This window comes from Homo sapiens, chromosome 18, assembly GCF_000001405.40.
Source record: "Homo sapiens chromosome 18, GRCh38.p14 Primary Assembly".
Taxonomy (NCBI): Eukaryota; Metazoa; Chordata; class Mammalia; order Primates; family Hominidae; genus Homo; species Homo sapiens.
In genome coordinates this window covers 48,157,136-48,185,125 of record NC_000018.10, presented here as the reverse complement: position 1 = coordinate 48,185,125, position 27,990 = coordinate 48,157,136, and the positions used below count along the sequence as shown (strand labels likewise).

At 48.8% G+C, this 27,990-nt stretch overlaps 1 protein-coding gene, 1 long non-coding RNA gene and 1 pseudogene across 20 annotated transcripts in view, besides 2 other annotated features; 2 read left to right on the top strand and 1 right to left on the bottom strand.

Annotated features, from left to right (window-relative positions):
• The window catches only part of ZBTB7C (zinc finger and BTB domain containing 7C), a 385,914-nt gene that overhangs the window by 227,460 nt on the left and 130,464 nt on the right, over positions 1 to 27,990 (top strand). For 5 of the 17 annotated variants that reach the window (XM_047437347.1, XM_047437345.1, NM_001371284.1 and 2 more), the window contains one exon: positions 19,873 to 19,995. The exons of 6 other annotated variants lie outside the window; for them this stretch is intronic. In XM_047437347.1, the coding sequence (XP_047293303.1) occupies positions 19,985 to 19,995 (11 nt within the window). In that variant the 5' untranslated portion in view covers positions 19,873 to 19,984. Of the gene's footprint in view, positions 1 to 19,868; positions 19,996 to 22,728; positions 22,779 to 27,990 lie in introns of all 17 variants that reach the window. 6 more of the 17 variants (XM_047437346.1, XM_011525864.3, XM_017025606.3 and 3 more) reach the window with 2 other exon arrangements.
• On the bottom strand, positions 479 to 22,410 carry ZBTB7C-AS1 (ZBTB7C antisense RNA 1). 3 transcript variants are annotated; one of them, XR_007066455.1, is made up of 5 exons: positions 17,658 to 18,088; positions 16,150 to 16,276; positions 7,164 to 7,210; positions 3,694 to 3,845; positions 479 to 3,004 (listed from the first exon to the last, which is right to left on the bottom strand). It is a non-coding gene; the product is annotated as a ZBTB7C antisense RNA 1 (long non-coding RNA). The 3 variants fall into 3 exon arrangements; XR_001753437.2 differs by lacking the exon at positions 17,658 to 18,088 and adding an exon at positions 22,246 to 22,410 and having other exon boundaries at positions 1,694 to 3,004; XR_007066456.1 differs by having other exon boundaries at positions 1,694 to 3,004; positions 14,718 to 19,072.
• Positions 12,459 to 12,959: an enhancer, noted in NCBI's record as "H3K4me1 hESC enhancer chr18:45698538-45699038 (GRCh37/hg19 assembly coordinates)". NCBI's record gives its function as "activates a minimal SCP1, AML or CMV promoter by ChIP-STARR-seq in naive H9 embryonic stem cells {active_cell/tissue: H9 hESC(naive)}" and the evidence as "EXISTENCE:reporter gene assay evidence [ECO:0000049][PMID:30033119]".
• Positions 15,236 to 15,342, top strand: RNU6-708P (RNA, U6 small nuclear 708, pseudogene; annotated as a pseudogene).
• Positions 23,291 to 23,490: a silencer, noted in NCBI's record as "silent region_9431". NCBI's record gives its function as "represses an Ori minimal core promoter by ATAC-STARR-seq in GM12878 lymphoblastoid cells {active_cell/tissue: GM12878}" and the evidence as "EXISTENCE:reporter gene assay evidence [ECO:0000049][PMID:35858748]".

Genomic DNA, 27,990 nt, shown 5'->3' with positions numbered 1-27,990 from the left:
ATGCTGGTGAGGTTGGACAGGGCCAGGTGCTGGAGGGCTTGGCATGGCTTCAGGAATGGTCCAGATGCAAAGAATCAGGATGGAATAAAGGATTCTTCACCTATGTAAATAAAATTTAGTTTCTGCCTGTTTGTCGGCCACTCCACGATATGAAAATGGCTGCATGAATTTTTCACAAACTTGAGGTTGTATTTGAGATCAGTCTATACACTGAGTAGATTATAGGAAATCTGCATTGGAGATACTCCCTTTGTCTCAGAGAGAGAGAGGGAATGAGAAAGACAGAGAGAGAGAGAGAGAGAGAGAAAATTCTCCACACAGCTGCAGCCAAGGGCCACCAGAGCCCTGTGAGGCCAGTAATGGGGCCACATCTTGAGCTCCTGGCGGACAGTCACCAATACAGCACTCCCAATTGTCCACTTGCCTTTCCCCCAGAGCCACTTCTCACGCAGGGAGCTCTAGGTACTGTGCTCAGGATGAGGGGCAGCTGGGATATATTTATTTAATGATGATTAATTAATATTTGTCCCAAGCAAGCAGGAGAAGGTAGCTAGTTATAAATCTCCATAACAACAGCCAGTATTCACATTGGATGAGCAATTTGCAGCACTCTTGAAGGTACTGCCTCATAGGTGCTTTACAAAGGCTCTATCCAGTATTCCCATTTTGCAGATGAAGAAACTGAGGCTCAGAATCATTCAATATTTGCTCTAGTTTGCTCTGCTAGTAAGTGGTAGAGCTGCCTAAGACGTCCACACTGACTTTCCGCTGCACATAACTGGACATTGCTCAGATTATGCAACAGGTCCTTTTGGCTCAGCCCTTGCCTCCTGCTTATTCATCCTGGGGAAGAAGAGTCATCATTGTGCTGCGCCACGGGGTCCAGTTGTCAGAACTCTGTCTGTTCTGGATGTCCATGTTTTGCTGTTGCTGGCTTTCGTGGGCTGTATTATGTCAGACTGGTGGTCTTCGGCAAGGCAGGAAGGTGGTTATGGTGCTGCCTTCAAGGAGGAAGGCTCACGTGTGCTTCCAACTCCTGGGACAACCCTCTGAAAAGATGCTGGAGGGCTTCATTTTGAGCCACTGGTGACTGACTTAGGTTGGGCTTCCTAGAAGCAGAGCCTGAGTCAGTTTTCAGTGGGATGTGATGTATCCAGGGAGAGCTCTTAGGAAACACTTGTCAAGGAGAGAGGGAAGCAGGGTAAAGAAGCAAGAGCTGAGTGGGAATGTGGTCTCAGGGCAGGTCTCCCTGGGTCTGGTCCACATCAACTGCACTGCAGTGATGTCTGACTTGGAGGCAGGGGGCAGGGCTTGTGTGTCCCCTTATTTGTCAGCAGCTGCCCCCAGAGTGTTGCTGGTGGTGCAGCTTCCAAGGCATCACCTCAACCAAGAGCAAGGACCCGAGAATGTCATGAGTGAAAGCTGTGTACCACACTCAGCAGCTGGGGAGTAGGTACAGAGACCTGGGCAGGGCATCAATTGCTTTTATTCTCATGCGTGTGAGCACCACTCTTGTCAAGACAGCCAAATGTCATTTTCACTGACCTGGCAGTAATTTTCATTGCAGTAAGATTGTATTTTGGGAGTATAGGTATTAAAATAGAAATCAATCCCGAAGTCTGTTTTTTTAACTGAAAATAACATGTGCTTTTTTAACTGGAATTTTATTCTTAACAGACAGTATCGTCTCAAGGCTCTAAATTCAAAAGTACCAGAAGGTATATTGTAAAAAGTCTCCCCTCTACCTCTGGCCTCAAGCAGGCTCCTGTCCTAGAGACAACCAATATTGCCAGAGTTTTGTGTTACTTTCCAATGATAGTCTACAACCAACAAGACTGTGGTTTAGATTCCAAAATTTTGGTGAATCTGATGCAGTATAGAAAGGTGCCACCTTCTTGGGTCTTTAGAGTCAGCAGTTGGGGTTATTCCAGAAGGGATTGAGCCGAAATAGGCCTTTTCTTTGGAGAGGGAGCAATTAATAGCCTGATTCAGCTCTCAGTGGAATGTTTAAAATGCATAAGAACTTTACAAACGTTTTCGAACTCTTTAGAGTTACTATATAAACAATTGATATAGGAATTGAAAATTATTTTTACTTCTAATTGCAAATAATAAATTATTTTTATTTCTCATTGCAAATAATAATTATTATTTAAAGCAAATTATACATAAAATTTAAATTATTATTTAAAGCAAATTATTTGAGATACCGCATGACAGCCCCTGGAATTCCCAAATATTTAAAATAATTTAAAATTTCACTAACTTCACTATTTAGTGCAAATCATTGAGGTCTCCCTGCATTTATTATCTGATGTCATTTGCATATTGTGTATTCTGTTTCCAAAGTGCATTTAGATTTCCTGCATTGTCAGCACCGTGTGAGTTTTCACTGTGGTTTCCTTTTATTCAGTGACTTGACTATAATTTGGAGGTACTTCCTCAACACAGGATCTGGTCCAAGATGGAATGGGTTCTTTTGGTGGCGAGCCCCCTCTGGTAGAAGGGGCTGAAACAGGAGCTAGGTCATCCGTCAGCACAGTTACACAGCTGATCCACACTGCCTGACAACAGGCTTAGAAGACGTCTAAGGTCCTGTCATAGCTGAGTCTCCTCTGTGCATCTTTGGTATTATCATGGCATTTTTAGGCCATTTACCTCACTTGAATTCCAGGCTGTAGGGCTCACACCGGACACTTACCTTCTGAAGTTCGGTCTTGAATGCTCTGTTCAATGCCAGTGTACATTTTCCAAATTGAGCTTATTTTATAATCGTGGAGGCCTGGCAGATATGTTTTTCTCTTGCAAGCAAGCTCCCTTCTTTCAGTTCTCCTTCATGTTTACACTCTCTCTCAGGTTACAAGAAAATCCTCTAACTTGTTCATGACCTGTTCCAGCCCGGAGACAGATGTTGGTGGCACCCCCATGAGGCAATGAAAAAAAATCTCATTTCCGTTCAAGAAGTAGAATCATTATCTTGATTGAAATAATATCTTTCCTCAACCTGCAACCAGATAAAGCATCAAATTGGTGGAGTTTCCTTATCACTGCACAGAGTTTGCAGGACACAGAATAATGGCCTGTCAGCTGCCTCTGGTGGGGTGGGTGCTGTAATACAGAGCCCACAGCTCCTGGCCTGGTTTGGATTATACGATGTCTGGTGTGATGTAAAATAATTCAATTAATGACAAATATCATTATATTAAAAAGAGAAGGTAGCGTAAACCCTAAAACAGAATAAGCAATAAAGGCAGCTACAACTATTATAGTGGTTGTTTTTAGTAGACACATCTAACATGCATAGGCAATTGTGGGGGTGACTGAAGGCTACAGATGTTTATGTCCTTTAAGGATGTAAGTACTCTGGAACCTGCAACCCCACTAGGCCTAAGATTCCAGGGCTTCAGTGGGAGTAAGGGGGTGACTGGGCTTGAGAAGGTGGACGAGGTCCTAGTTTTGGGTAGAAAACAGGACAGCCAGAGGGCAGCAAGCTGATATATTTGGAAAGGGAGCTGAAAGAGCTGTGGGTAGGGAGGCAGGGGGTCTGGGTTCCAGTCCTGATTCACCGTCATTGTCATGCAGCTTTGGGCTCTTGGGGCCTCAGTTGCCTCTTTGTTCAGAAAGGATAACATGGGGGTACCAGGAGAAGGAGGCGAGGCAATGTTTGTGCAAAGCCCAGGATAGTGGCTGTACCTTTGATCCCTCCTGTCCCTTGTCCACTGAGTGGGGAGGCTCTGCTACAGCCCAGGCAGGTCTGCCAGGTGGTAAAATGCTGATTCCCACAAACACTCTTTTCTTATGCACTGCTCAGCTCACAGCACTCCTGCATGGAAGGTTTCCTTAGCCTTAGAGAGCAAGGGGATAGAGTGTCATTCATATGAACAGCATTAGCTCAGAGTCCAGTCCAGTCCAGTCCTTACTATCTGCTTTCCCCATGGTTTGGCCTCAGTTCCCTCTTCTATGAAGATAAAGGGGTGACTCCAGGATCTCAGTGGCTCACCTTTCTAAGCAACTACTCTGTAACAGGCACTATTTCAACCATTTTACATTTATTAATTAACATAATCCTCACAACAATCCTATGCATTGGAAACTTATACTATCTGCTTTTTACAAGTGAAAAGTAACAGTGAGGTTAAGTAACTTGTCCAAGGTCACACAGCCAGTAAGTGCTAGAATTGGAATCTGAAGCCAAGCAGTCTGGTTAGAAAACTTAAAATGGACTGCATCAAGACTAAGTAACAGTTCAAACAGCCTGGGCTTTCGTCAGACCCTAAACCATAATCCTATGATACAGAGAAGCAGTAATAATAATTATATCTTTGTGATGTTCTAGGAGGCTGTAGAGATTGTTCCTACACCTGGTGGGAGGTTGAATGATATTCTGACTAAGATACCTGATCCTGGTAGCTCAGATCTCTTGCCATGGATCCCGTAAAAGTGTTGCTAGCTGTATATACACTGTAGAACACCAAGGTATGCGGGCCTTACCCTCCCACTTACTTGCCCTTGTCTGGCCCACCCCCCCATCACCCTACAGAGCCCTCCTGGGCCCTTGGGGCTGTGCTGTCTGCCAAGACTTCCCCAGAGAAGGAAACCATCCCTCCCAAACACCACCCATGCCTGCTTCATTTCCCTCTCTCCCCAGGCATGGCATAGGTGACATGAAAGCTTCTGTCTCCAGACCCTTGTCTTCAAGAGGAGTGCTGGCCTGTCAATGAGCGTGCCTGATTACCGTGGTAATCACCAGCGAATGGTGTGATTTTATAATACATTTCCATCTGAAATATGAACAGGTGTGCTGGGGAAATCAACATTTATCAACAAGAAGGTCTAGGGAGATTAATATTGAATTTAGGATTGCTCAAGGAAATGGATGGAAGGAAGGAAGGAGGGAAGGAAAGGAAGGAAGGAAGGAAGGAGAAATATCTTCCTTGCAGGGAAGGGAGGAAGGAAGGAAGGGAGGGAGGGAGGGAAAGAAGGAAGGAAGGAAGGAAGGAAGGAAGGAAGGAAAGGAAGGAAGGAAAGGAAGGAAGGGGAAATATCTTCCTTGCAAGGAAGGTACGGAGGGAGGGAAGGAAGGAAGCAGGGAAGGAAGGAAGGAAGGAAGGGGAAATATCTTCCTTGTAAGGAAGGAAGGGAGGGAGGGAAGGAAGGAAGCAAGGAAGGAAGCAGGGAAGGAAGGAAGGAAGCAGGGAAGGAAGGAAGGAAGGGAGGAAGGAAGGAGAAATATCTTCCTTGCAGGAAGGAAGGGAGGGAGGGAAGGAAGGAAGGAAGGAGAAATATCTTCCTTGAAGGGAAGGGAGGAAGGAAGGAAATAAGGAAGGAAGGGAGGGAGGGAGAGAAGGAGAAATATCTTCCTTGCAGTGAAGGGAGGAAGGAAGGGAGAGAGAGAGGGAGGGAGGGATATCTTCCTCGCAGGGAAGGAAGGAAGGAAGGAAGGAAGGAAGGAGAGAGAAATATCTTCTTTGCAGTCGAGGGCATTCCAGCCTGACTTCTGACCACTCCCCCAACAGATGCTCCTTTCCTGTCCCTCCCGAGATGGTCTCCCACCCTGGCTTCCAAGCTGGTCACTCACATTCCTCCCGGCTCTTCCCTTTTCTCTCTCCTTCCTGGTGCTTAACCACCTGTCTGATCCCACCAGCCCTGGGAAGCCCACCCAGCCCCCAGGAATCTCTGCCTCCTTGAGCACCTGAAGCCCCCACATTCCCCACATCCAGCATAGGAGAGTCTTTCTCCACAGCTGGCTGGAAGGCCCCCAAGTGACATGCATTCATCTGCTGTGTAACTCGGCCACCAGGCACAAGCCTTGCTCAGCCATGCAGGATCCCTTATTGGTTGGGGACTCTGGTCCCATCTACAGTCCTCAGAAAAGACAAGCCTCTGTTGAGCTAAGAACTTCTCTGTTTACTTAGGGCCCCAAGTGAAAACATCAGGCCAACCTCTGGGTGGCTCTAGAGCAGAGCGCCACAGCCAGATTGGTTTGTTCCTGCTGGAGAAATGGAATTATCTGCATTATGGTATTCCTTCCAGAAGTAAGGGCAGCAGAGGGCATCCAAGGAAACGGCAAGGCAGTTTGATCTTTAAGCCTCAGGGTCCCTGGCATTGTCCCCTCCACCCACTTCAAAATCAATGAATATGAGAAGCCACACTCCTGGGACCAGGAGGGGTCCTCCTGCTGCTCCATGGCCACCCTTGGTGGGGGAGAGGTAGGGCCCCAGAAGAGGCAGCCTTGCCCAGAGGGCCCTGGCACAATGGGACACATGATGGGCTCCACTGCTTTGTCCTGGATCTGTCAGTGTCTCAGACACAGAGCAGGCCAGGGTTTTTCTGTCATTACAAGCAGGAGAACAGAATGGACCTGATAGAGGCTTCCACATGAAAGGCCTTCGTCTTTACTTTCAAGTAGACAATGCATCAGAGAAGTTGCCAGACCCGCTCTGACGATGCGACAGGCATCAGCTAATATTTTGATTTTAATAGAATGAATAATAAAGAGCCCCAAGTGTCTCTCAGAACTAATTTTGAAGAACATATTCTGCCACATGTCCCTCTAGTTGGATCAGGCTCCTAAAGAGATCATAACAAAAGGTTTAAACCAAAAAAAGAAAGAAAGAAAGGTATTCCTCCACCAACTTTTCTCTCTTTTAATTTCCTTCTTGTAATGCTTCTCACAGAACAGTAACTTATGAAAAGATGAAATGAAGTTGGAACAAGAAGCAGCAGGCAGAAGAGGCCCGACGTGGTAGCCCTTGCTTTTGTTCTGCAGTGCGAATGGCTTCGCAGCAGATCCCCTCCCTGAGATGCCCTCCCTGAGATGCCCTCCCTGAGCATGGCAATGTGGGGCCTCCCGTGCAGACAAGTACCAAATACATTAAGGGAGAGGGCACTGCCTCCCTCCACAGGGGTCCGCATGAGTCAGGGGCATGGCAGGAAACAGGTGGCAAACTTCAGTTCATAGACAATTTGGAGAGTTGAGTTCAAAGGCCAGTGCCAGTGCAGGGAACTCTCAAGACCCAGTGCAGTACCCCAGGGCTGTGAACACTGGGGAGCTGTTACACCCAGGGGCACTAAAGGGGCAAGGAGAGGGAGGGGCTGGGCAAGGAGAGGGAGGGGCTGCTGGAAGTAGAGACAGTGAGGGTGGGGTGGAGGGGCCACCTTACCAGCGCTGTGACCTCTGGTCCAGGGATACAGCTGGTCTGAGGCCTCCCTGGAGAAAGGGATACAAGGCATTAAACACCCCAACTCTAAACCCCAAACTCCCTTCCTCCATTCTCCACCTAGGGCCCTACAGGCTGAGCTGACAGGAGGCCAGAGGCAAGGGAGCCCGTTGCTGTGTCTGCAGTGGTCGGCCTCCCAGGGCACAAGAAGAGCAGAGTAGGGTGGGAGGGACAAGTGGAAGACAACAGCACAGGCCTTGGCCCCAAGTTCTTGGACCCAAGAACTTGGACCCAGGTTCTCAACAGGCCAGGCCTGGCCTGAGGGGCGATTTCATGGCCTCCAAGAAAGTCCACAGCTCACAGACACACACACACAAACACACACATGCGTATACACACACACACGCACACACCCTCCTGTTGGCCAGGAATTATAGTTCCTTTTGCCAGGAACACAAGAATGATGGCACTGTCACAAAATGTTTCCCTGGAAGAGGAGAGATGGGGCCATAAATGAATCCACACTGAAATGCCACCTCAGGTCCCTTACTCAAAGAAGGAGCTGAAGGAGGGGACTAGAATAGTTCTAGCAAGGTGTCACAGGAGTCACCAGGAGGGGGCCTTGAAGAAGTGCCAGCCAAAAGGAAAGGCTTTTGCAGGTGAGGGCAAGTGGTCAAGGCAGAGAGCAGGAGGGCCTGAGTTCTAGAAGCTGAGGCCTGAGGGTGAAGCAGGAGGGCGAGGGGACCACTTTGCTGGTGGAAGCCACCCTCCAGCTGGCCCTGCTTGTTCTTGGCTCATTGTCCTGCTCCAGGCCAGAAATGGCTCTTGGAAATGTAGACAGCTCTCAGCTCTGTGCCCTAAAGGGGTTTATGCTGATGAAAACACTACCAGTGAAGTAATAGTTCCCGTAGATGTCCAGCACACCCTATGGGGGGCCTGGGCCAAGTTCTTGCAGGCATCATCTCTTTTAATTGTCCCAAGACCATGAGGTGGGCATGGCCCCACAGGAGGGAGCAGAGACGCGAGAGGTCAAGTGAATTCTCCAAGGCCACACACTGAACCCAGATGGGTTTGATTAGGAACTCTTCCCTGGCCTGGTTGCCTGCTGGCAGTCCCCTGGCTGAGGAGAGTCCACTCCTACAGAGAAGAAAGCATCTTTCAAATATTGGAACATACATTTAAATTTTTTATTTGGGAAAAATTTTAAATTACAGAGAAACTGCAAACAAAAATAATCCAAAGAATATCCTTGTATTCTTATATCTCAGTTTTACCTGCTGTTAACATTTTACAGCACTTGCTTAATCATTTGTGTTCTTTCTTACACACACACACACACACACACACACGTGTATTTCCTGAACCATTTGAAGGTAAGTTCACCCCTACATACTTCAGCATGTGTTTCCCAAGGATAGGTATATTCTCTGACATAATCATAGCATGGTTGACCAATACATTTAACATTTATACAACACTTTAATCTAATCTATTCTTTGTATCCCGATTTTGTCAGTTAACTTCATAATGTTCTCCCCAGCATTTCTCCCTCAAGTAGATCTCATCTAGGGTTGGATATTGCATTTAGTTGTGTCTCTTTATCTCCTTTAATCTGGAACCTTTTCACAGCCTTTCTTTGTCTTTTATGACATGGACATCTTTGAAGAATACAATGCCCCCACTTATTTGTAAGACAGTATATTCCTCATGTTGAATTTGTCTGATGTTTCCTCTTGATTAGAATCCAGGTTATGTATTCTTGGACAGAACCCTGCATAAGCCCTCTTGGTTCTTCTCAGGGCATCATCAGGAGGCCCTCATTGGTGATGTTAATTTTGATCCCTCAGTCCAGGCAGTGTCTGATTTCTCCATTATAGGATGATTTTTTTTTCTCCCTTGGAACTAGCAAGTGGTCTATGGGGAGACATTTTAAAACCATGCAGTACCCTGCTCCTCATCGGTCTCTCCCTAGATGTAGCACCCATTGATGACTTTTGGCCCATCCAGTCATTAACATGAGGTTGCACAATGATGCATTTCCAACTCCAGCACTGCCTCCATTCTTGCCAATGGGCCCTTTGCATTCTACTGTAAGCAACAGAATGTTTTTATTTATTATCTGCATAGAATGATGAACTCTGGTTTTTCCAATGGTTTAGTATTTCTCACCTATGATATTTTAATACACCACTATCCCTATTTTGAGTATGTTCTTACTTTCTGGTATGAGAAGAGATTTCCAGGCTTATCTTGCACCTACCCTGCACCAGCCCTGGCATCAGTAATTTCTCTGGGGGGCTCTGGTTCCTTTTAGCGAGGAATGGTATTAGACATCCAGATCTGGGTTTGCTCGTTGCTGGGTATATTTGCACCTTGGCCCTTTCAGGGGACAAAACACTAGGAAATACATGCATCCATACACCTATACATCCATGTACTATTCACCCATACACATGCACATACACTGACATATTTGTATTTTAGAAATTGTGAATCCATACCAATACCTCTGATTCCAATCCATTTCTACATGGTTGTTTCCTGCCTTCCCCATCTCATAATTACATGTCCTTCTTCAGCAGTGAAACCTCGGCTCCCCAAACTGTCAACAAAATTCACTCCTTTGCTCATCCTATATTACATCTAAAAATACTCTCAGAATTGTTTCACCCAAATCACTACAACCAACAAACCTTCCTCTCATCCCCACCTCACCATGCCATGTTCATAAATTACTAGGATTAGTCTTTCCTTCCTGATTTTTTCTGTCCTTCAGTGTGGTTATAGTATTTATTTGAACTACAGTTAGGTTCCTTTTTTTTCAGTTTGAGGGATTTTTTTCCTTCTCATTCTTATTAAATTAATTTTTAAAAATATGTAGGACATGAACATGCTTTCAGAAGTCAAATAGAAAGGTACAGTTGGAGATAGAAGGTTTAGTTGGAGATAGAAAGGTATAGTTGGAGATATACAGAAAGGTATAGTTGGAGATATGTCACTCTCCTCTGTAACCCATTGCTTCCTTGTAGGTAACCAATTTAATTGTTTTCTGCTTATGCATCTATTTCTTTGTGTAAAGAGAAGCAAAATTATATGTTGTCTTATTTCCCCTTCTTTCTCACAGAAAAGGTAGCACTATATATAGATAGATAGGTAGGTAGGTAAATACAGATTTAGATGTATTTACATTTTACTTTATTCATTCAGTAATATTTCCTGGCAGTCACTTCATATCAGCCCATAGAGGTCTTCCTCACTCTTTTTTACAGCTGCATAATACTCCATCGTGTGTATGTGTCATGGTTTATTCACTTGCTCTCTTACGGATGACCACTTAGGTAGCTTCTCATATTCTGCAATTACATAATGCTACAATGCTTGTGCATGTGTGTTTCATATGCTTGGGATTCTAAAAATGGGATTATCAAGTTGAAGAGGATGTAGTTTTGTTAGGCGTTGCCAGATTCCCCTCCATGGGGTTGTGTCAGTTGCATTCCTGTTTTCCCACGACCTTGCCAACAGACGTTATTGTCAAGTTTTGGAATTCTTGCCAATCTCACTGGTAAGAAATGTTATCTCATTATAATTTTAGTTTTCATTTTTTTATTATGAGTGAAGTTGAAAATTTTTCATATGTTTAATGATCATTTTTAATATTGCCTTTTGTGAATTGTCTTTATATCTTGTCCATTTGCTATTGGGTTTTTGGTTCTTTGTCCCTCAATTTTTAAGAATCTTTTATATACTAAGCCCTTTGTCTATGATATATGTGACAAATATTTTCTCCCAGTTTATTATTTGCCTGTGACTTTACTTATGGGATTTGCCATATAAATTTGTTTGTATAGTCAAATTATCCAATCTTTTCTTCTTACAGCCAGGTTATAGAAGAATTCACCCATGTGGAAACGTAATTTTTAATGGCTATACAGTGCTAAACCATAATTTTCATATAGATTCTAAAAGATGAATTGGAATTCCAGGTTGATGGGGTGGAGGATGAAGGAGGGCAGATGGGGAGCCAATTTGGAAGCTGGAGCAAGCCCTGTTGATTTTAGGATGGGGACAGGGGACAAGTGGTGTCTGCCCTGTAGTGATGGACATTCACACGAGGCATCAAGATCAGTCCCCGTGACACAGTCCAGTGACAGGACCTACCAGGAAGGGCTGTGGACTTTGGAGGAGGGAGAGGTCCTTTGGGTTGGGCATTGAGTCTCTGGGGCAGGGCCAGGACAAGGATGAGGCAAGTGAGGCACTCAGTGTAAAATTTAAGGAGGTGCTCACTCTCAGGAGCATGCAAGTGCAGGCCTGGCACCTGACAGTGAGTGCCTCCTTAAATGTGGTGCCCTAGGGCCTCACCTGCCTCCCACTACTGCCTACTCTTCCTTGGAGAGAAGGATTTGCCAGGCCTTGGAAAGATACAAGTTGAATGGATGGGAAGGGGGGACGTATCATAGGCCCTGAGACTGTGTGTGGGAGAAGCAGTCCATCCATGAGGGACTGGCCCAGTTAGGAGTGGTGCGGTGCTAGAAGGGTGGGCTGGGAGGAGTTTGGATTTTATCCTGAAGGTCCTGGGAAACCACTGCAGGACTTTAAGAAATTATGCCAAACTGGGGGAAATGGGGATGATAACAGCCACTTCCCAGAGTTAATATCAAGATTAAATGAGATAATCCACATAAACCTTTTCAGTTGGCGTGGGGCCTGATGTGGAGTGGATGCTTAATCATCATGAGTTTCTTGGACTTTGAGGGGATCTACTGATTTTCTTAATCAGGTTTTGGGTCTAACAGCAGAACTGTTCAAATCACAATGTAGGAATAGAAAATTAGCAAAACCTGAAGTAAACTAACTGTCCACTCCTGTCTGGCAACATCTTGGGAAGAGGAAGATGGCATGTTCAAGAACTAGAGGAAAGTCGGAGCTTTCAAGTTGCTCCAAGGCCTCCATTCTCAGAACAGAAACCAAGGCCTGGGAAGGCTCTGCAGTGAGTTACTCTGCAGTGAGTTCATGGCTGTGCCAGAGGCTGCTGTTCCACCCCACAGTCCCCTCCCACCACCCCCTAGACAGTGCCTGTGCTCCTCTGTCTCTGCAGGAGGCCTTCCCGACAGTCTGTGTCTCCTCCCTGAACTGTGCTGACCCTGAAAACAGAAAAAGCGAGAAGCAGACAGGACCAGGCGGCCCTTCCCACCCCTACTGTGGCAGGCTGGCCTGGGACAGAGCAGCAAGTCCAAGGCCCTCTTCGCCCCGGGCCAGCTCCCTGAGGGAGGGGCCGCCCAAGGAACTGAGGGCTATCATTGCCCTCGACTTGCCAGCCCAGTGAAGGCCATTCCCTGTGGCCCCGTGGGTCACGTCAGTCAAGTGTTTGGGAAAAATAAGTGTGCAACGATGTGGCGGGTGCGTCCTTCAGAGCTCGCTGGTCTCCCTCTCCCCCAGCTCCCACTGATGGAGGCCAGGAGGTCACCCGAATCTCCCAGACACACTCATGGAGACAGGGCACACAGACTCCGCTCCCAGCTCCCAACCCTTCTACCTGCTTCAGGCCTGCAGCTCCGGCTGAGAAACCTAACAGGTCCTGGGCAGATTCCCAGCCGCCAGCCCTCCGTGCCCCCCTGCCTGCTCCACCAAGCTGTGCAAATGGCTGCCTGACGGGCCATCATGACATTTAAGGGCACTGGGAAGCCCCTGATGCAGACCCATCTTCCCACCCATCTTCCCACTAGCTTAAAATCCATCCTCAATGCGTCCTTAGCCTCATCATGTCCTGTCTGTGGCCGAATCCACTGCCACCTCTTCCCAGATACCTTTCTCAAACTACAGAGGAACAGTGACCTTCTTCCTCTGCCTGCAGCCTACACAATAGGTTTCAGCTTTGGGTGCAGGCCTGGCCACGTCTGTTTCTTGTCCCAGGTAGCTGTGAACAAAACTGTCTGCCTCTTTCAGTATGAACCACCCAAGAGCTGGAGCTACTTCTTATTCGACTTTGAAATCCCCAAATGCGTGGACTGAGTGGCTGACATGAAAACAGAAAGACCACAGTCTTCAGAGACTGGAAGGATTAAGCTTGAAGTCTGGCCTGATACTTGCCAAGTGGCTTCAGGGAAGCCACTTAAATTGTCTGAGCCTCCATTTTCTCATCCATTCAATAGGATGATGGTATCTACCTTGCAGGGCTGTTGCCCCACATAAAGTAGTCAGAGTGCCCAGCCCAGGAGCTAGGACCCGGCAGGCACCTGTTGCTTCATTCACAGATGCCTACTGTGTGCCTGCTCTGGGCCAGCCTCCAGGGCAGCCATGGAGACAGCAAGCTAGGACTCAAGCACAGTTCCGGAAGCCTCTGCTGAGAGCCCTCTGTCTGGGTTGTGCTGGGGCTGGGGCTGCAGGAATGGGTACAGCATCCTTGCCCTCCAGGCATTAATGGTCATTCCCATCATGGGCACAGTGGATTTTCCAGGCTCCTTCCAGCCGCATAGTTGCTGAGATCAGCTCCTAGAATTTGGTGATGGATGATTCCTGGGATATTCTTCCTAGAGTGAAGGGCCTGGCCTAGGTAGGGGAAGTGAGGGCTGGAAGGAGAGAGGAATTCAGAAGAAAGAAGGCTGAGTGCCTGACCTCAAAGAGTGCCCAGTGTGGCATGCCCATTGCTCTCCAGGAGGGGGTGAGATGGCCAAAGCCAGCCTGGATTCCTCCTTTAGGGAAAATAGGTATCAGCCAGCTCGGGGAAGAAGCCACAAGCTGGGCTTTGTCCTCTTGTTTAACTTGGGGCCAGGCCTGTGAGCACTGGACCATGGGGCTCCAAGGCTCAGGCAGGGCCAGAGAAAGAGTTAAGTGAGACCTGGTGCCATCTTCTTCTACTGCCAAGGGAGTCTCTGAGTCCAGGTCCAGCAGATTGGGACCTACCAACCTTAGGTTCCAGATTCTAATGCCCCACTTTCAGGTAGGTGGCTGGTAAGAGACAGTTGAGTGTAGGCTATAGGCAGAACCCAGGGCACAGCTCCTTGTGGGATCAGAAAGTGAAGGGTCCCTGCCCTGTGGGGCAGGGGGAGGGCTAGTCCTGGCGAAGGCACCACACTCCCATGAAAGGCCTGGACAGCAACCACAGAGGCCTCTGCAGTCGTACAGGGGCGGGGGGTTCTCGGTCATCTGTCAGTGCAGAGGGGACAGGTGCAGAGGAGTGGGGTGGGCCTAGTGAGGTGAGTGAACTGAGGAAGGCTCTGGGAGAGGCACCTGCGGATCCCAGGCTTTGAATGACTTCATAGGTGTGGAGGGGATCTCCCAAGAGTACCTGCTTACTCTGTTAAGGTGTCAATGGCTCTTTTTCTCCTCCTGGCCTCCTCTAAAGGTCTGAGGACCAGTGGGAGGGCTGGCCCCATCCCCTAATCCAACATCCCAGCCATGTCTTCCTGAACATGTCTGAAAATGCTCATCCCTGAGGCTGCCCCGGGTTTGGTGAGCTCCTCTGGGTGGGAACTTTCTTTGTGTTCATGATGCCTCTCTGCCTCCCCTCAAATCCAGCATTTCTGCAGGTGGGTGGATCTCAGAGACCCCAGCTCTCACCTCAGTCTGCGCATCCTTCTCTGGAGAGGCTGCCAGGCCCCCCAAGAGCTTTGATGGATGAGTCCCTGTTCAGGTCCAGATGCCCCCTGCAGAATAGGAAGACTGGATACTAGTTAGCCCTTGGGGTGTGGGTAGAGGGCTTCTTTGGCACAGGCCTGGCAAGCAGGTGCCCATCATTCAGCACAGTAAGAATGCTGAGGCAGGGTCTTTGGTCCACTTGCTGGTGATATAGTGGAAGGCAGTTAAGCAGCTGGGAACCCCATCACCCCAATGCACAGGCCATGAGGGCACCCTTAAGGCGGATTTTGCTGGGGGAAGTTGGCCTTTGTGGGGAGTGCAGTTCCAGTGTGGCTTTCAGTGAATAGATAATGAAGTGACATTTTAATTGTGTTTCTGTTAGGTCAGGAGAGGTGAGGGGTGGGAGAGTAGATGGAGTCAGGGAAACACAGAGACCTTCTGTCCACTCTCCCTCATAACAGAGAGAACAGAGACTTTATCATCCAAAATGGGATACTTTTGTGCTTGCTTCAGCAGCACATATACTAGAATAGGAATGATACAGAGAAGATTAGCATAGCCCCTGTTCAAGGATGACACGCAAATTCGTGAAGCAGTCCATATCTTTAAGAAAAAAAAGGGACACTTTTGATAGTAAAAGTGGGCATTATTATAATCGTAAGAGAAAACAGATGTGAAATGGGACTTTCCCTGGAAAACACGAGACTTCATGAGCCAGTATGCTTGGCTGTGTTTTCTCCTCACCATTTGCCCTTGATAAAGAAGAAAGTGGACGGCACAGTGCTTGCCAGGTATTAATGGGTCATATGGCCCATGGCAGGACACTTCACCTTTCTGACCCTCGGCTCCCTCATCCATAGTTTCCTTCATTCATTCTGTAACTATTATTTTGTACCTTCCATGTGCAACACAGTGTGCCAGGTGCTGCGAGTTCAAAAGTGACGATGGCAGGGCCCCAGTGCTGTTAGCTTCCTGGGGTCCCTGACCTCTCCGGAGACACAGCTCTAGCCCATGAAGTCGTGTGATCTAGTTTGGGGAGCTGAAACCGTTAAGTAACAGAGGGTAAGGCTGTCTCTGAAATATGTCCAATCGAGTGGTAAGGACAATGGTAAGGCAAGGGGACTGGGAGGTGAGGAGTACTGTGCCCATTTTATGGAAGAGGAACCCAGGATGCAAAAAGATGGGACAATGCGTGCAGGAGCATGCAGTAGGAGGTAGAATCCTAACCCGCATTGCCTGAAAATAAAGTCAGTGCACTTTCTTACCTTTCTATTGTGTAGCCCTTGCCTGCTCCCCATGCCCCATGCAGCCATCTGGACAGCAGACCCTGTGGTACACACAGACCCCCTTGGGGACAGGGCAAGTGCCCCAGACCAGTTGCAACATTCACCAAGGGCTGCCAGGGGTGTCTTACCTCAGCCACTTCCCTTCTGTTTGCTCAGATTCCACAGCTGAGAAGTTGATCCAATAAATCTTCTGCTTCTAATCTTCCAGAGAGGTGAGGGTCAAGGAGAAAGGTGTGATAAGTGTTCTGAGCTGCTCTGAGAAGGGGGATAGGCATAAGAAGCCATGTTTATGCCTGATTCAAGAGACAGAAGACCAACATTATCCTTTACGCAACTTCCACGAAAATATAAACTAGAACATTGTCCCAAACATGGAAAATGATTTGCTGAGTCTTCCAGGACAGGTGATAAGCTTTCAAGTCCTCTAGCTCTTTAATCTAGTGTCCCTTACCTACAAGATCTGCCTTCCCCTATTTCTTCTTCAGCACCTAAGAGTTGGTGTTTACATTTTATTAATAAAAATCATTGGTGAGATTGAGCAACTTAAATCATGTTAGTGGACATTTATATTTCATGTTCTTCCTTATTGATGTATAGGAGCTCTTTGTATATCGTAGATTTAAACCTATGTCTGTAACTTATAATGCAAATATTTTCTCCCAGTCTGTTTTTAACTTGGATTGTGGTATTTCTGTAATCAAATCCACCACTTTTCCCCCTTATAACTTGTGGGGTTTGTTTCATGTTTAGAAAAACCTGCACATCAACCACATATTTGTCTAACAAAAATTTGCCAGTTTCCAGATCTGAAAACTTTGGTGCAGGGATCCCAGGAGGTTGCCTTGCAGCAAGTAAGCCTTTTCCAAGGACCTCTTTGCAGGGAGCCTCTGACCGAAAGGCCCAGGACAGCTTAATCAGCCGGGGCCTCACCCTGAACCCTCACACAGCACCTGGGCTCTTGCCAAGCTCTGCCCTTTGCTCCCCATAGGTTGGAGCCTGATAAGAAGCTCAGTGAAGCGAATATTGACTGTGGCACCCTCAGAGTGTGTTGTCCTGGTCACCAAGGCCAAATCAAAGCATGCGGACTTGTTTTTCCTTTTGATAGTCCTTTCCCCTCCCTTCTCTCTTCCCCACACTCTGAAAGGGATCTGAAACCCTACTAAAGCTGTTTTATGTGGGCAGGCACCTTTATCCGACTGTTGCTGCTCTTATGGAAAACTTTTCACAGAGCTGAATACAGAAAATGATCTTTTCAAACATACCGTTCTGTGTAATTTTATAAGCTCTGTAGTCATTGCTCTAGCATCTTCTCAAAGAAACCTTGAAACCCTGTGGCTGCTGTGTTATACAAGAAGCAAGAAACTCGGGTAACCAGAAAAGGACTATTAATCCTGTTTGGGCTCATCCTCACTAATTCATTGTTTCTGGCAAGGGGGAGAAAGGTTGCTTTGAAAAGCTTCTTGGAAGGACCCAGAGTCTACTGGCGCATGCGCGTGTGCACGCGCGCACACACACACACACACACACACACACACACACACCCTAGCAATGCAGTGGCCTGCATTTAACATTTCCAAATAGGTAACTCAAGTGTTAGGTCTGTGCTGAGTCTGGTTGCCTTTGATGTCCCCCATACCTTAGTGCCACAGGCTTTCAGGGTGCATTTCTTTGTTGGGGTGCAGGGCTGAGTAACAGTTAACGCCAAAGAGAAAAAGCAAGAGATGGGAGGCCCCAGCACAGGAGCAGCTGGAAGGAGGAAAGAGCTGGGCCAAAGGCTCAGAATGGCTGAGTTCTGGCGCCAAAGGGTGAAAAGGGCAGAGGAAATGGGTAGGCTGGGGCCTGTGGGAGGGGCAGGTTGGACTGGGAGGGGAAGTGAAGGCGGTTGTGAGAGATCACTTGTCCGTGGAAAGCTTTCAAAGTGGAGATTCAGGAGTGGGCGGGAACCCTGGAAGGGTGGAGGAAGGGTCTGGATATTGCCTCCGGCCAAGGAAGGACCGGACACAGGACTACCTCCGGATGGCCATTGTGCAGAGAGCAGGCACAGACAGCTTGGGTAGAAGGGCAGCACGAGGTTCTGAAGACCAGAGAAGGGCAGGGCTGAGCAGGCTCTGCTTTGTGCTTCCAGCTGAGGTTGAGGTCAGAGGAAGAGGCCTCTTCCTGGGGCTGGGGGCTGTGAGTGGGGAAACAGCCTCAAGAGCTTCCCCCCCGCCAGTAAGGACAACACAACTGAGCCACCTTCTAGCTTAGGAGGTGCCCAATAGGTGCCAGAGGCTTGTTCCAGTGTGGACAGCAGCTTCCAGGCACACTTCAGCAAAACCATCACCAAATGTGCCCAATATGGTCCATCTACGGCTCGCCCCTGGCTGCCTGTGGCAGTGTAGTGCCCAGGCCCCTGGACGCTTTGGGGGTCACTCCTTGGCCCGTCTCCCTGCTGGAAACTCCTTTTTCTTGCCCCCTAACATGCTGCTTCATTGGTCCTGTCCGTATCGCTGAGGACCAGGCCAGGTGCTTCTACCTGCTGGGGACCAGGGGACTCTGAGCTTCCACAGGACTGGCCCTCCCTGTGATGACATCACTCATGTTGGGACTCCCACCCCAACGGCATTCCTGGGAGGGAGGCAGGGAGAAACCGGGGGTCTGAGAAGCTGAGAAGTCCAGCTTACTGGGGAAAAGAGTTAACTCTGCAGACACAAAGGGCAACAAGATATTGTGTGATTCTTCTTCTATGAAGCATCCATGATAGGCAAATTCTTCCTACCCAGTGTTCTTATTTCTCCCAAAATAAACAAATAAATAAATAAATAGAAGAAGCAAATTCTTAGAGATGAAAAGTAGATTAGTGGTACCAAGGTTCAGAGGAGGGGAACGTTGGGAAGTTATTGCTTAACAGTTACAGAGTTGTTTGGGTTGATGAAAAAGTCTTGGAAATAGTGGTGATGGTTGTACAACACTGTGAATGTACTCAATGCCACGGAATTTCGCCTTAAAATGGTTAAAATAGCAACATTTATGTTACACATATATAAATATAAACATTTACCACAATTTAAAAAAAAATTATTCTCCTATGAAGAAGTAATCAAAGAGCTCAGTCAAAAAAATCTGGGAAAAACGTATTATGCAGTGTGCCAGACAGGCAGGCCATACTGTTAATAAGAATATCTGGTCATTTTAAAAAGAGGGAAAGATCAGCTTTGAATCCAGGCCCTACTAGCTCGGCATGCAGGCCTCTCCCCACCCTTTACCCAAGTTTCCTCATCTGTAAAATGAGGCTTACGTGGCGAGAATATGTGTGCTGGTCACAGAGCTGTGCAGACCCTGCAAAGAGGGGCTGTTGTGGTTACGATGTTCAAGTTCCCCATTCCTATTAAGCAGCTCAAGTTCTCAGAGCCAGGAAGGGGATTCTTGTTGGCTGGACTCCAGGGCTTTATTTTGAAGTTAACCTTGAGGGCATAGCATTTGGTAGTGGGCGGGGTGTGGAAGGAGCAGAGGTTGGGGGGCGGTGGCGGTGAGGGACAGGAGCTTTTGAAAGCTCATTGCACAACAGGAACAGAGGGAAAGGCTTTGTCTTCAAAGGTGTCCCAGCAGTTACAACAAGGACTAGAGCAGGTGCTGATGAGGCCGCAGTTTGGGAGTCTGATCCCTAACAAGGCCAGGTCCCCTCTCTCTGCCCAAGTTTGCTCTCTGAATACAGAGGAGGACTTGGGCCATAGAGTATGGGCAGCTCCGCAGGGCGATTCTTGCTCATCACTGGACACTCATTGTCTCTGAAGGACGGGCTACGTCGGAGTGTTGTCTTAGATTCGAATGCATGAGGAACTGGAATAATCAGTAACATTTCTCCCAGACAGAGCTGCTCTAAGCTGTGGGCCAACAGGAGGCTGGGAGCTCTCCTCTAAATTGCTTTGTGACCTTGGACAAGAACCCTCCCCTTCCTGGACTGCAAATTTCCTCCTCTGTAAAATGAAGGGTTGGTGAGTGTCCCTGTAATGCTGGGATTTTGTAACCATACTTGTTTGTGGGAATGTGTTCAAGCACAAGGTGATCTACCTCTTGATCAGCAACAGGATGTATAGAATTGTTTTGGCTTAAGATTTCCTAAGAAGTAATATAACCCTGCTCCCTTTGCCAGCTGGGTGACCTCAGTCAAGCTACTTGACCTTTCTGTGTCTCTCTATTTTCATTTGTAAAATAAGGACAACAACAATCCCAACTTGGTGGGATGTAGGGGGTGGGGGCTCGTGGTGAGGACTAAATGAGTTAATATGTCTAAAGTCATCTGAACAGTATCTAGTATACAGTAGGTGCTTAATGTCTGGAGCTCCTTCCAAGTGCACAGCACTTACAGTGGTTAAGTTATTCACACTCTAGGTTATGCTGAGCTTTCTGAGAGATCCAGAGAAGGCAGGGAGGCCCATTCTCTGCATTCAAGGGGCTTACTAGCCTTTACTTAGAGATGCAAAAAAAAGCGCTTATGAAACAACAGCCAACAAGAAAATGCATCATCCAAGTGCTGGAGGGGTCCTGGTGGGTTAAAGAAGGAGGATCACGAGGTAAGCACTTGATCTGAACCATGGGTAGACAGGGAGACAGAAGGGAAATCTAGCAGATGAGTATGTTTGTGTATACATATGTATGTGTGTGAGTATGAGTGGTGTTGTGACTGTGTGTATGGGTTAACATGAGAGTGTGTGTATGTGCATGTTTGCCAAAAGAGCATGAACAAAGGCTTACCCTGGAATGAGAAGTCTGAGTCTTCAGCTCCCCTAGGCAGCACCACATTTTGTGGTTGTGTTGCGGCCACATGCTCCTCTCCCGCTTGTTGCTGGGACCGGGAACATGCCTGCCTGTGAGTCCAGGAGCAAGCCCTTGTGCATAACCCGGGGTGTGATTAATTTAATTATTTCAAAAGCCCCTTTGGTATTTCATGAGGGTCATGCCCCTGGCTGTGGGCTTGAATACAACTGCAGCAGGTTTCAATAAAATCAATTAATTTAATTTGATTTGGTTTTATGTACTTGGAGTTGGTGCCTCTTGAACTCAGTATGAAAATTATTGCAGAATAAAAATGCATATTAGTACTCAGAGCCCACTGTCCTTGGACTCTTCGTGGAGCCTGCAGTGCTGATCACAAAGGCAAATCCCCTCTGACCTGGCAGGAGCCTCCGCCAACTGTCCACCTAGTTAACCCCCTCCAGCTCCAGACAGTGCTTATGGCAGCTCCTGGGCTGTTTGGAGTGTTCTTCTCACTTCCCAAAGCACTTTCTTATCTGGTAGTGAAGCTAAGGCATTTCCATTTTGCATTCGTGAAATGGACTCAAAGAGACTTTGGATGGCCTTGGTCACTAGCTTACTGGTTTTTTTGTTGTCCCTCTTAATGAAACTAATTGAAGCAATATGGTGCAGTGGATTGAAAGGCAGCTCTGCCTCTCAAGAGACACATGAATTTGGGCAAGTCCTTTCACTTCTCTGGGCTTTCTTTGTCTGTAAGAGGGCTGGACATCTGCTTGAAAGGCTGATTCCAGCTGTCAGAATCACACAATCAGTGGGACAGCTGGTCTTCCTGAGCTACTTTGGGGAGCCTGTCCCACTGTTAAGCCCCACTCCATTTCCATTTCATCCAAGAGGGCTCCCAGCCAGTTCATGGAATGGGTGATGGGATTGAAGATGGGCCCTGCACTCTCCAGGAGTGGCTTCTCCCCCACATTGCTACGGATCAGAGCAAATGTTGCTTTCAAGAAGGGAGGAGCTCAGGGGCCTAGAAAGCATCTGACCAGCCCACTATTTTACAGATGAGGGAACCCAGCTTCAGAGTCACACAGCCACTGTCCAGGGCCATGCTCATGCCCAGCCACATTCACAGTTATTATAAAGGGGGGAGATTTTGCTCAGGGCTCATTTTCCAACTGTCCTTTTCATTCTTTTCTCCTGTCAGGATGGGAGAGAGATGGCCAAGCCATCTTTGGGGCCTCTCCAATAAAGCAGATGCTGACATCAGTCATTCCAGCGCCCCTACATCCCTTCTCAGGCCCAGTAGCTGCCGCTTCACTGAGGACCAACGGGCCCCATTCGGAAACATCCCCCACCAGTGCCTGACATCCCACCCTTAGCAGTTTCATTCTCCTAGACAGGAGGGCCTGCCCTCCCTCAGCCCTTCCTACTGACTGCATGCTGAGCATGAACGTTCATCCTCCTCAGTGACATTTTTCTCCCATAGGTCTTACCTGCCCAGAGCTCTTCTGTAGCAGAAACTGAGCCTGTCCTCTCCATCCTGCGTCTCTTATTTACTGAGAGGCACTATTGTGTGCTGAGAACTGCCCTGGGCACTCCCTGTACATTATCTCATTGAATCCAGCATTGGCCCCGGAAGATGGGCATTACGGTCCCTATTTTCCTGTGGGGGAACTTCAGCTCAGAGAGGAGACAGAATTTTACAAGGTCACACACAGCTATGAAGTGACAGGGCCAGGATTCAACCCCACATCTAACTCCAAGACTCTTGGACCATACCATGTGATCTCCCTCGTGCATAGGAGGTGCTTAACAGATCCTTAATGACCATGTAGCCAATACATCCCTCTGCCAAACCCCAAATGTGGGGGAAGAGGTAATAATAGTAACAACTGTCTATGAAGTCCCTATTATGTGCCAGGCACCAAACCGCAGCACTCAGTGAGGTGAATACTATTACTATCTCAATTTTACAGATGCAACAACTGAGGCATAGAGAAGTCACTTGCCCAAGGTCACCCAGCAGGTAGGTGAGCTGGGCTTCAGTGCGGCCCTGCCTCTGAGGTGGAGTCCCTGCCTCCACTGTTGCTGGATCCTCCTTTAGCTCCCCGTGGCTCTGTTTCCGGTAGAAGGTAGAAGGCTGCAGGGAAGGAGGCTGGGGCCAGGGGTGGTGTTTGCGCCTCGGGGACGCCTGCAGCTGGCACTGCCCTCCACCCAGCTGATAACTACAGCCGGGTCTGGCACGAAGCCCTGCCTGGAGGTGGGCGGCCTGCGGCGGCGGGGGGTCTGGCTCTGCGTTCGCCCCTCTCAGCCCCGCCTCGCCCCCTGCGGGGTCAGTGCGGGTCCCGCCCGCCCGGGCAGGCGCCGGCCTCTCAGGCGGTAACCGGGTAACCGTGGGCAGGGGCGGTGCCGCGCCGGGCCGCGGCCTCCCGGGGAGGCGGGCGGGTGGGGAGGTCGAGCTGGAGCGATGTGAGAATGCGGAGGAGAGGCCCGGGAAACAGGCTGCGGCCGCGGGGAGGGGCGCCCGGGAGGAGGGCGATGGCTCCCGCAGGAGGAGAGAGAGGCCGCGGGGGCGCAGAGTGGAGGGAGAGGGCGGGGCGCCCGGGAAGGGGCGGGGATAGAGGAGGGGCCTCCGGAGCGGGGCGGGGCTGGGGCGGGGCGCCCGGGCCGGGCCGGGCCGGGCAGCCGAGTGAACGCTGCAGGAAGGGGGCTGCGGGCAGGCACGGAGTCCGGGGCGCTTGTGGCCGGGCGGAGCGGCTGTGGTTGCTTCATGTCCCGGATTCTGCTTTCTCAGAGGTCAGGCGAGTGGGGCCGGCAGGGAGAGAAAGGTGGGCGAACCAGTCTGAACAGGCCGGGCAACTGGAGGAGCGTGGGCCCGGCGAACTGGGGTGCTGCCCAGCACCCTCTACCCTCACCACGCTCGGGAATTTTTCGTGAATCCGCCCCGTTGGTTTTACAGTTTCCTCTCATCCCGGCCCCACCCTGTCTCCTGACCCGCCCTCCCTTCCTCCCCTCTCTGAGCTGGCTCTTCCAAGGGATCGGTTAGCCAAAGGGAGGCACCAGCTCTTTCCCTGGACTCTCCCACTCCCAGCCCTCCTGGAGAACTCAAATCTTGCACGTGCTCTTTCTCTTTCCCTGCCCCCGTCCCCCAGGCCCTCTGGGTCTTGGTGAAGGAGACCTTGAGTCAGCCCAGGAGGCCCTCCCTCCCCCACAGCCCCCTTTAGGGTCCCTTCTGGGTCCCCCCCACCTCCTCCAGCCCCAAGCACCCAGGGCCCACAAGCTGCCAGGCCTCTGCTGGCAGGCAGGGAAGACCCAGGCAACCTTAGAAGGGTGGGAACCACACCCTTCTCATGGCTGTGTGCGTTTTGCTTGAAGGTGTCTGCAATCAAAGACGACCCCCCACTGCTCCCCCGGCACTGGAAAAAAAAAAAAAAAAAACTTGTCTCAAATGGTGGAATTCCAGATGCAGGACCCCAGATTTGGGGGATAGGGAGCAGATATTTGGGACAGGGGAGGCCTTTCAGGGATCCCTCATATCACATCAAGAAGGCCACCTGGCCCCCCTCAGACTGCCACTGCCCTCTCAGGTGTCTCTCCCTGCGGCCAGTTCAACTTCTCACTCATCCCAAGGCTGTGAGTTCTTACATTTTCAGGTAGCAAACAGGTGCCCTTACTATGGCAAGGGGGAGATTGGTAGGTTGCTGAGCTTGTGTTTTCTACAAGCTTGGAGCTCTTTGATCAAGATTGCCACTATTTATACATCAGGGATGTTATTTAATAGATCCAGGATCTTTATTATTTAACCGGGATCTTTAACAGCTGGACCACAGGCATCCTCAGCCCAGTCCTGGGTTTAATAGATGAGGCCCTTGAGACCCAGAGCGGGAGATGACCTGCCCAAGATCATACTACTAGTTAGTGGCAGAGCTGGAACTCTGACTAGCCTCCCAGCTCCTCATCCCAGCGTGCCTGCTGTTATACTGTGCTTTAATTTTAGGGTAGCTCCATGTTAGGGACCTAGCATAGCACCTATGTGGCACAGAGTAGTTGCTCAGTAGATACCGGTGAGATGCATGAACAAGCCCTCAACAAGAGGACTGGATTAATGCATCTTTTGGAAGAAGTGAGGCTTCCACAGTGCTTGGGATTCTAGCTCCTTGTCACTGAGTGTGCTAGCGAAATGTTTCTCTAGGGTAGTTGGCCAGCAGTGACCCCCATCGGAGCCTGGCATCATCTTTGGTCACTTCAAGCAAGCCCAGTCATTGTGCGGGAGGAGACTGTGGGTCTGGAGGTGGGTCCGAGCATGAGCCAAATTGGCAACTCCAGATCAGAGCGATTAATGCTGTGACTCTTTTCCATTCATTACCCTCAACCAGTATCTGAACAGGTTGCAAAAGACCAAGGCATGTCTGTTCCTGCAGGGGTTCTTGTCATCCTGCGGCCCTGCCAGGCACTGTGTGAAGAGACCACAGCCCCACAGATCCAGAATCTCTGGGGGCTGGAGGCCCCCTGGGCTCTGGGCTGCCCAGCGCTCTGTGAACCTAATGTTCATGCCTCTGGGGTCCTGCCTGCTGGGCATTGACTACTATGGCATGTGGGATGGGGGCAGCACTTTGGTAAAAAGTAAAAGTAGGAGAAATTCAGGTCATTCAGGCTACTATTACCAATTTTAATAAAGTATTTGGAGAAGAAAGAGGGTAAAATGAATGATTAAAATAATATTTTGCATGTAGTAGAAGTTCAGGAACCTCACTGATTTGAAACTTAGGAGAGTTGAGCTTGGCTTTGGTAAAGTTGATCTTTGCACCATCTGTGGACACAGAGGTGATGAATGAATTAGTGTAGGCATGATTTGTAGTAGCAAGAAAGGAACATGCATCTGACTTTCTTGTGATGATGAATTTTGACCAGAAGCAATTCAGCTCCATTCATCTTGGTAAGCCTTTTTATGGGCCACCTTCCAAGTGCCAGGCCCTGTGCTAAATGTCCTGTAAGTATTACTTTATTGAATCCTCGTAAGATCCCTATGAGGTAGGAATTATCATTTTTCCCATTTTAAAGACAAGGAAACTGAGGTTGATTAAGTAGAAGACCACCGGGATTCACACTAGAGCAGTCTGACTCTAGGATCGGTGTGCTTAACCACCACATGTGCAGGTATTTTATGTGTTAGGACAAGGGGAATAGAAAAGGAAAAAATAAATAAATAAGCCATGACCCCTACCCTTCCAGAAGCTTCTGATCTCTTTGGGAAAAGAAAACACAGAATGTGGTTATGCTCCTTGAGGCCAGGAGTGGACTTGACTCTCTGCATCCCCTGTCGCCTCTGAGAAAGGGGCTGAGGAAGATGGAAGTGGAGCAGTTGGCCAGGCCTTCATCCTCTTCCCCTACACTGTATCTCCCCAGCCCCTACCCTCCTCTGGGGAGCTCACCCTGTGTGGGGAGGCCCAGGAATTTGCCTTCAGCTTCATGCTCCCCTGTAGCCTGTCCCTTCCCCCAGCGGCTTCATGCTCACCCCAGATTATCAGTAAAACCAGGTGCCTTCAAAACCTCGAGATGGATGGACAGGGCGGTGAGGTGAAGAAGGCCATGCCTGACACGCTTCACTTGCCATCCTCTGCTTTTGGAGTCTATCTTCTGTTTCCACCAGGGCTGAGCCAAGAACATAGAACACTCTACTTCACTGCCAAATCAATAATAAAAACGGAGTCTTGCAGAAGAGGGCCTAGGAACTAGGAGAAAGTAGGCCCACCCGAGAGCCATTCAGAATTCTGCAGCTCTGGCCCCAGAATGCTTCCTCCAAACTCACAGATGAGAGCCAAAAAGGTCTTTCAAGTTTATCACCCCCACCCCACCCCTCCAAGACCCTCATTTTGCTGAGGAGAACATTAAGGACCAGGGAGGGAGAAGTATTTGCCCTAGAACACACAGCCCCATAGAGGCAGGGCTGGGCTAGAAGCTAGACTCCTGGCTCCTAGACCCAGCTCCTGTGTGTGTGTCGGTGGCTTTGGGAAGCATCATTCCGACCCATGGTCATCCTGTAGCCTGCGAGGGCCAGAGTTATGAGAAAGGTAACTTGTTTCCCTGACATCTTCGCAGCCCTGCCCAAAAGCAAATCACCTGTCGTTCCTGATAGGCACCTTTGGCAGCCACCAAAACAAATCCACCAAAAGCAAAGAGAAAAAGGAGGAACAGGGCTGGGAGCCAGTGTTTGCCCCTGGTGGTAACCTGGGCATATTTAACTTCTCAGCTTGTCCAGACCAGATACCATTTTGTTCCTGCTTGGCACAGATTTATCCAGCCTGTGTGTTCCTTCTTGGCAAAGTCCTCAGAGAGAGAGGAAACAGAGATGGTCCCCAGGGCATCTAGGATGTTTGCCAAGTACCTGCTCCCCACCTCCCTCAAGCCCTATTCCCTCTTTCCATCCCCAAATGACCACCCTTAGTTGATATTGAGTGGGATTGAATTTCTCCCACAGGATGGGGCACACACGTGGTGTTTTGCCATTGTCCCATTTTGGTTTGGGAGTTGCAGAGGCAGGCACTAGGAGTTGATGTGTTTATTTTAGCATGCTTATGTGGCACCTGATATATATGCCAGCGGGTGTTCTAAGCACTTTACAGATATTAGCTCAGGTAATCCACTCAGCTTTTACAGATGAGGAAACTGAGGCAGAGAGAGACTAAAGCATTTGCCTCACGTCACACAGTGAGTGATAGCAGAGCCAGGATGCAGAGTCTGCCTTCGAGTCCCTGCTGTTAAGTGCTGTCTTTCTGCTGGGACTGCCAGGTTCTTGCCATTTTGACAAGTAATATAACCAACTGGGTCTCTGTTTCCTCCTCATAAAATGGAGAGAATAATATTAACTGTCGAGTGGTCACTTTGAGAAGTGTGAAGGGCTCCGCAGACAGAAGGACCACTTCTTATCTGATCATGTTCCCAGCTGGGGTTGGTTTGTCTCCGTTTCCTCATCCGCCCACAGTTAGCAGGCTCTGGCAGCTCTTATTGCCTTGTAGGACCAGTGAGTTCCCAAGGAGATTTCTGGACCCCTTTCCCCATGGCAACCTTCTCATGTTCAACCCCAAGCCAAACCTATTGTCTATATTATTCTATGTTATTTCTATGCTATTTATATTGCTATGTTATTTATATGATTCTTCTTGCTGTTAATGCTTTTATTTATTGAAAAGCTCTCCTCAGAGAGTACCCCCAGGTTATAGGCAAAAGCCACATAGAGG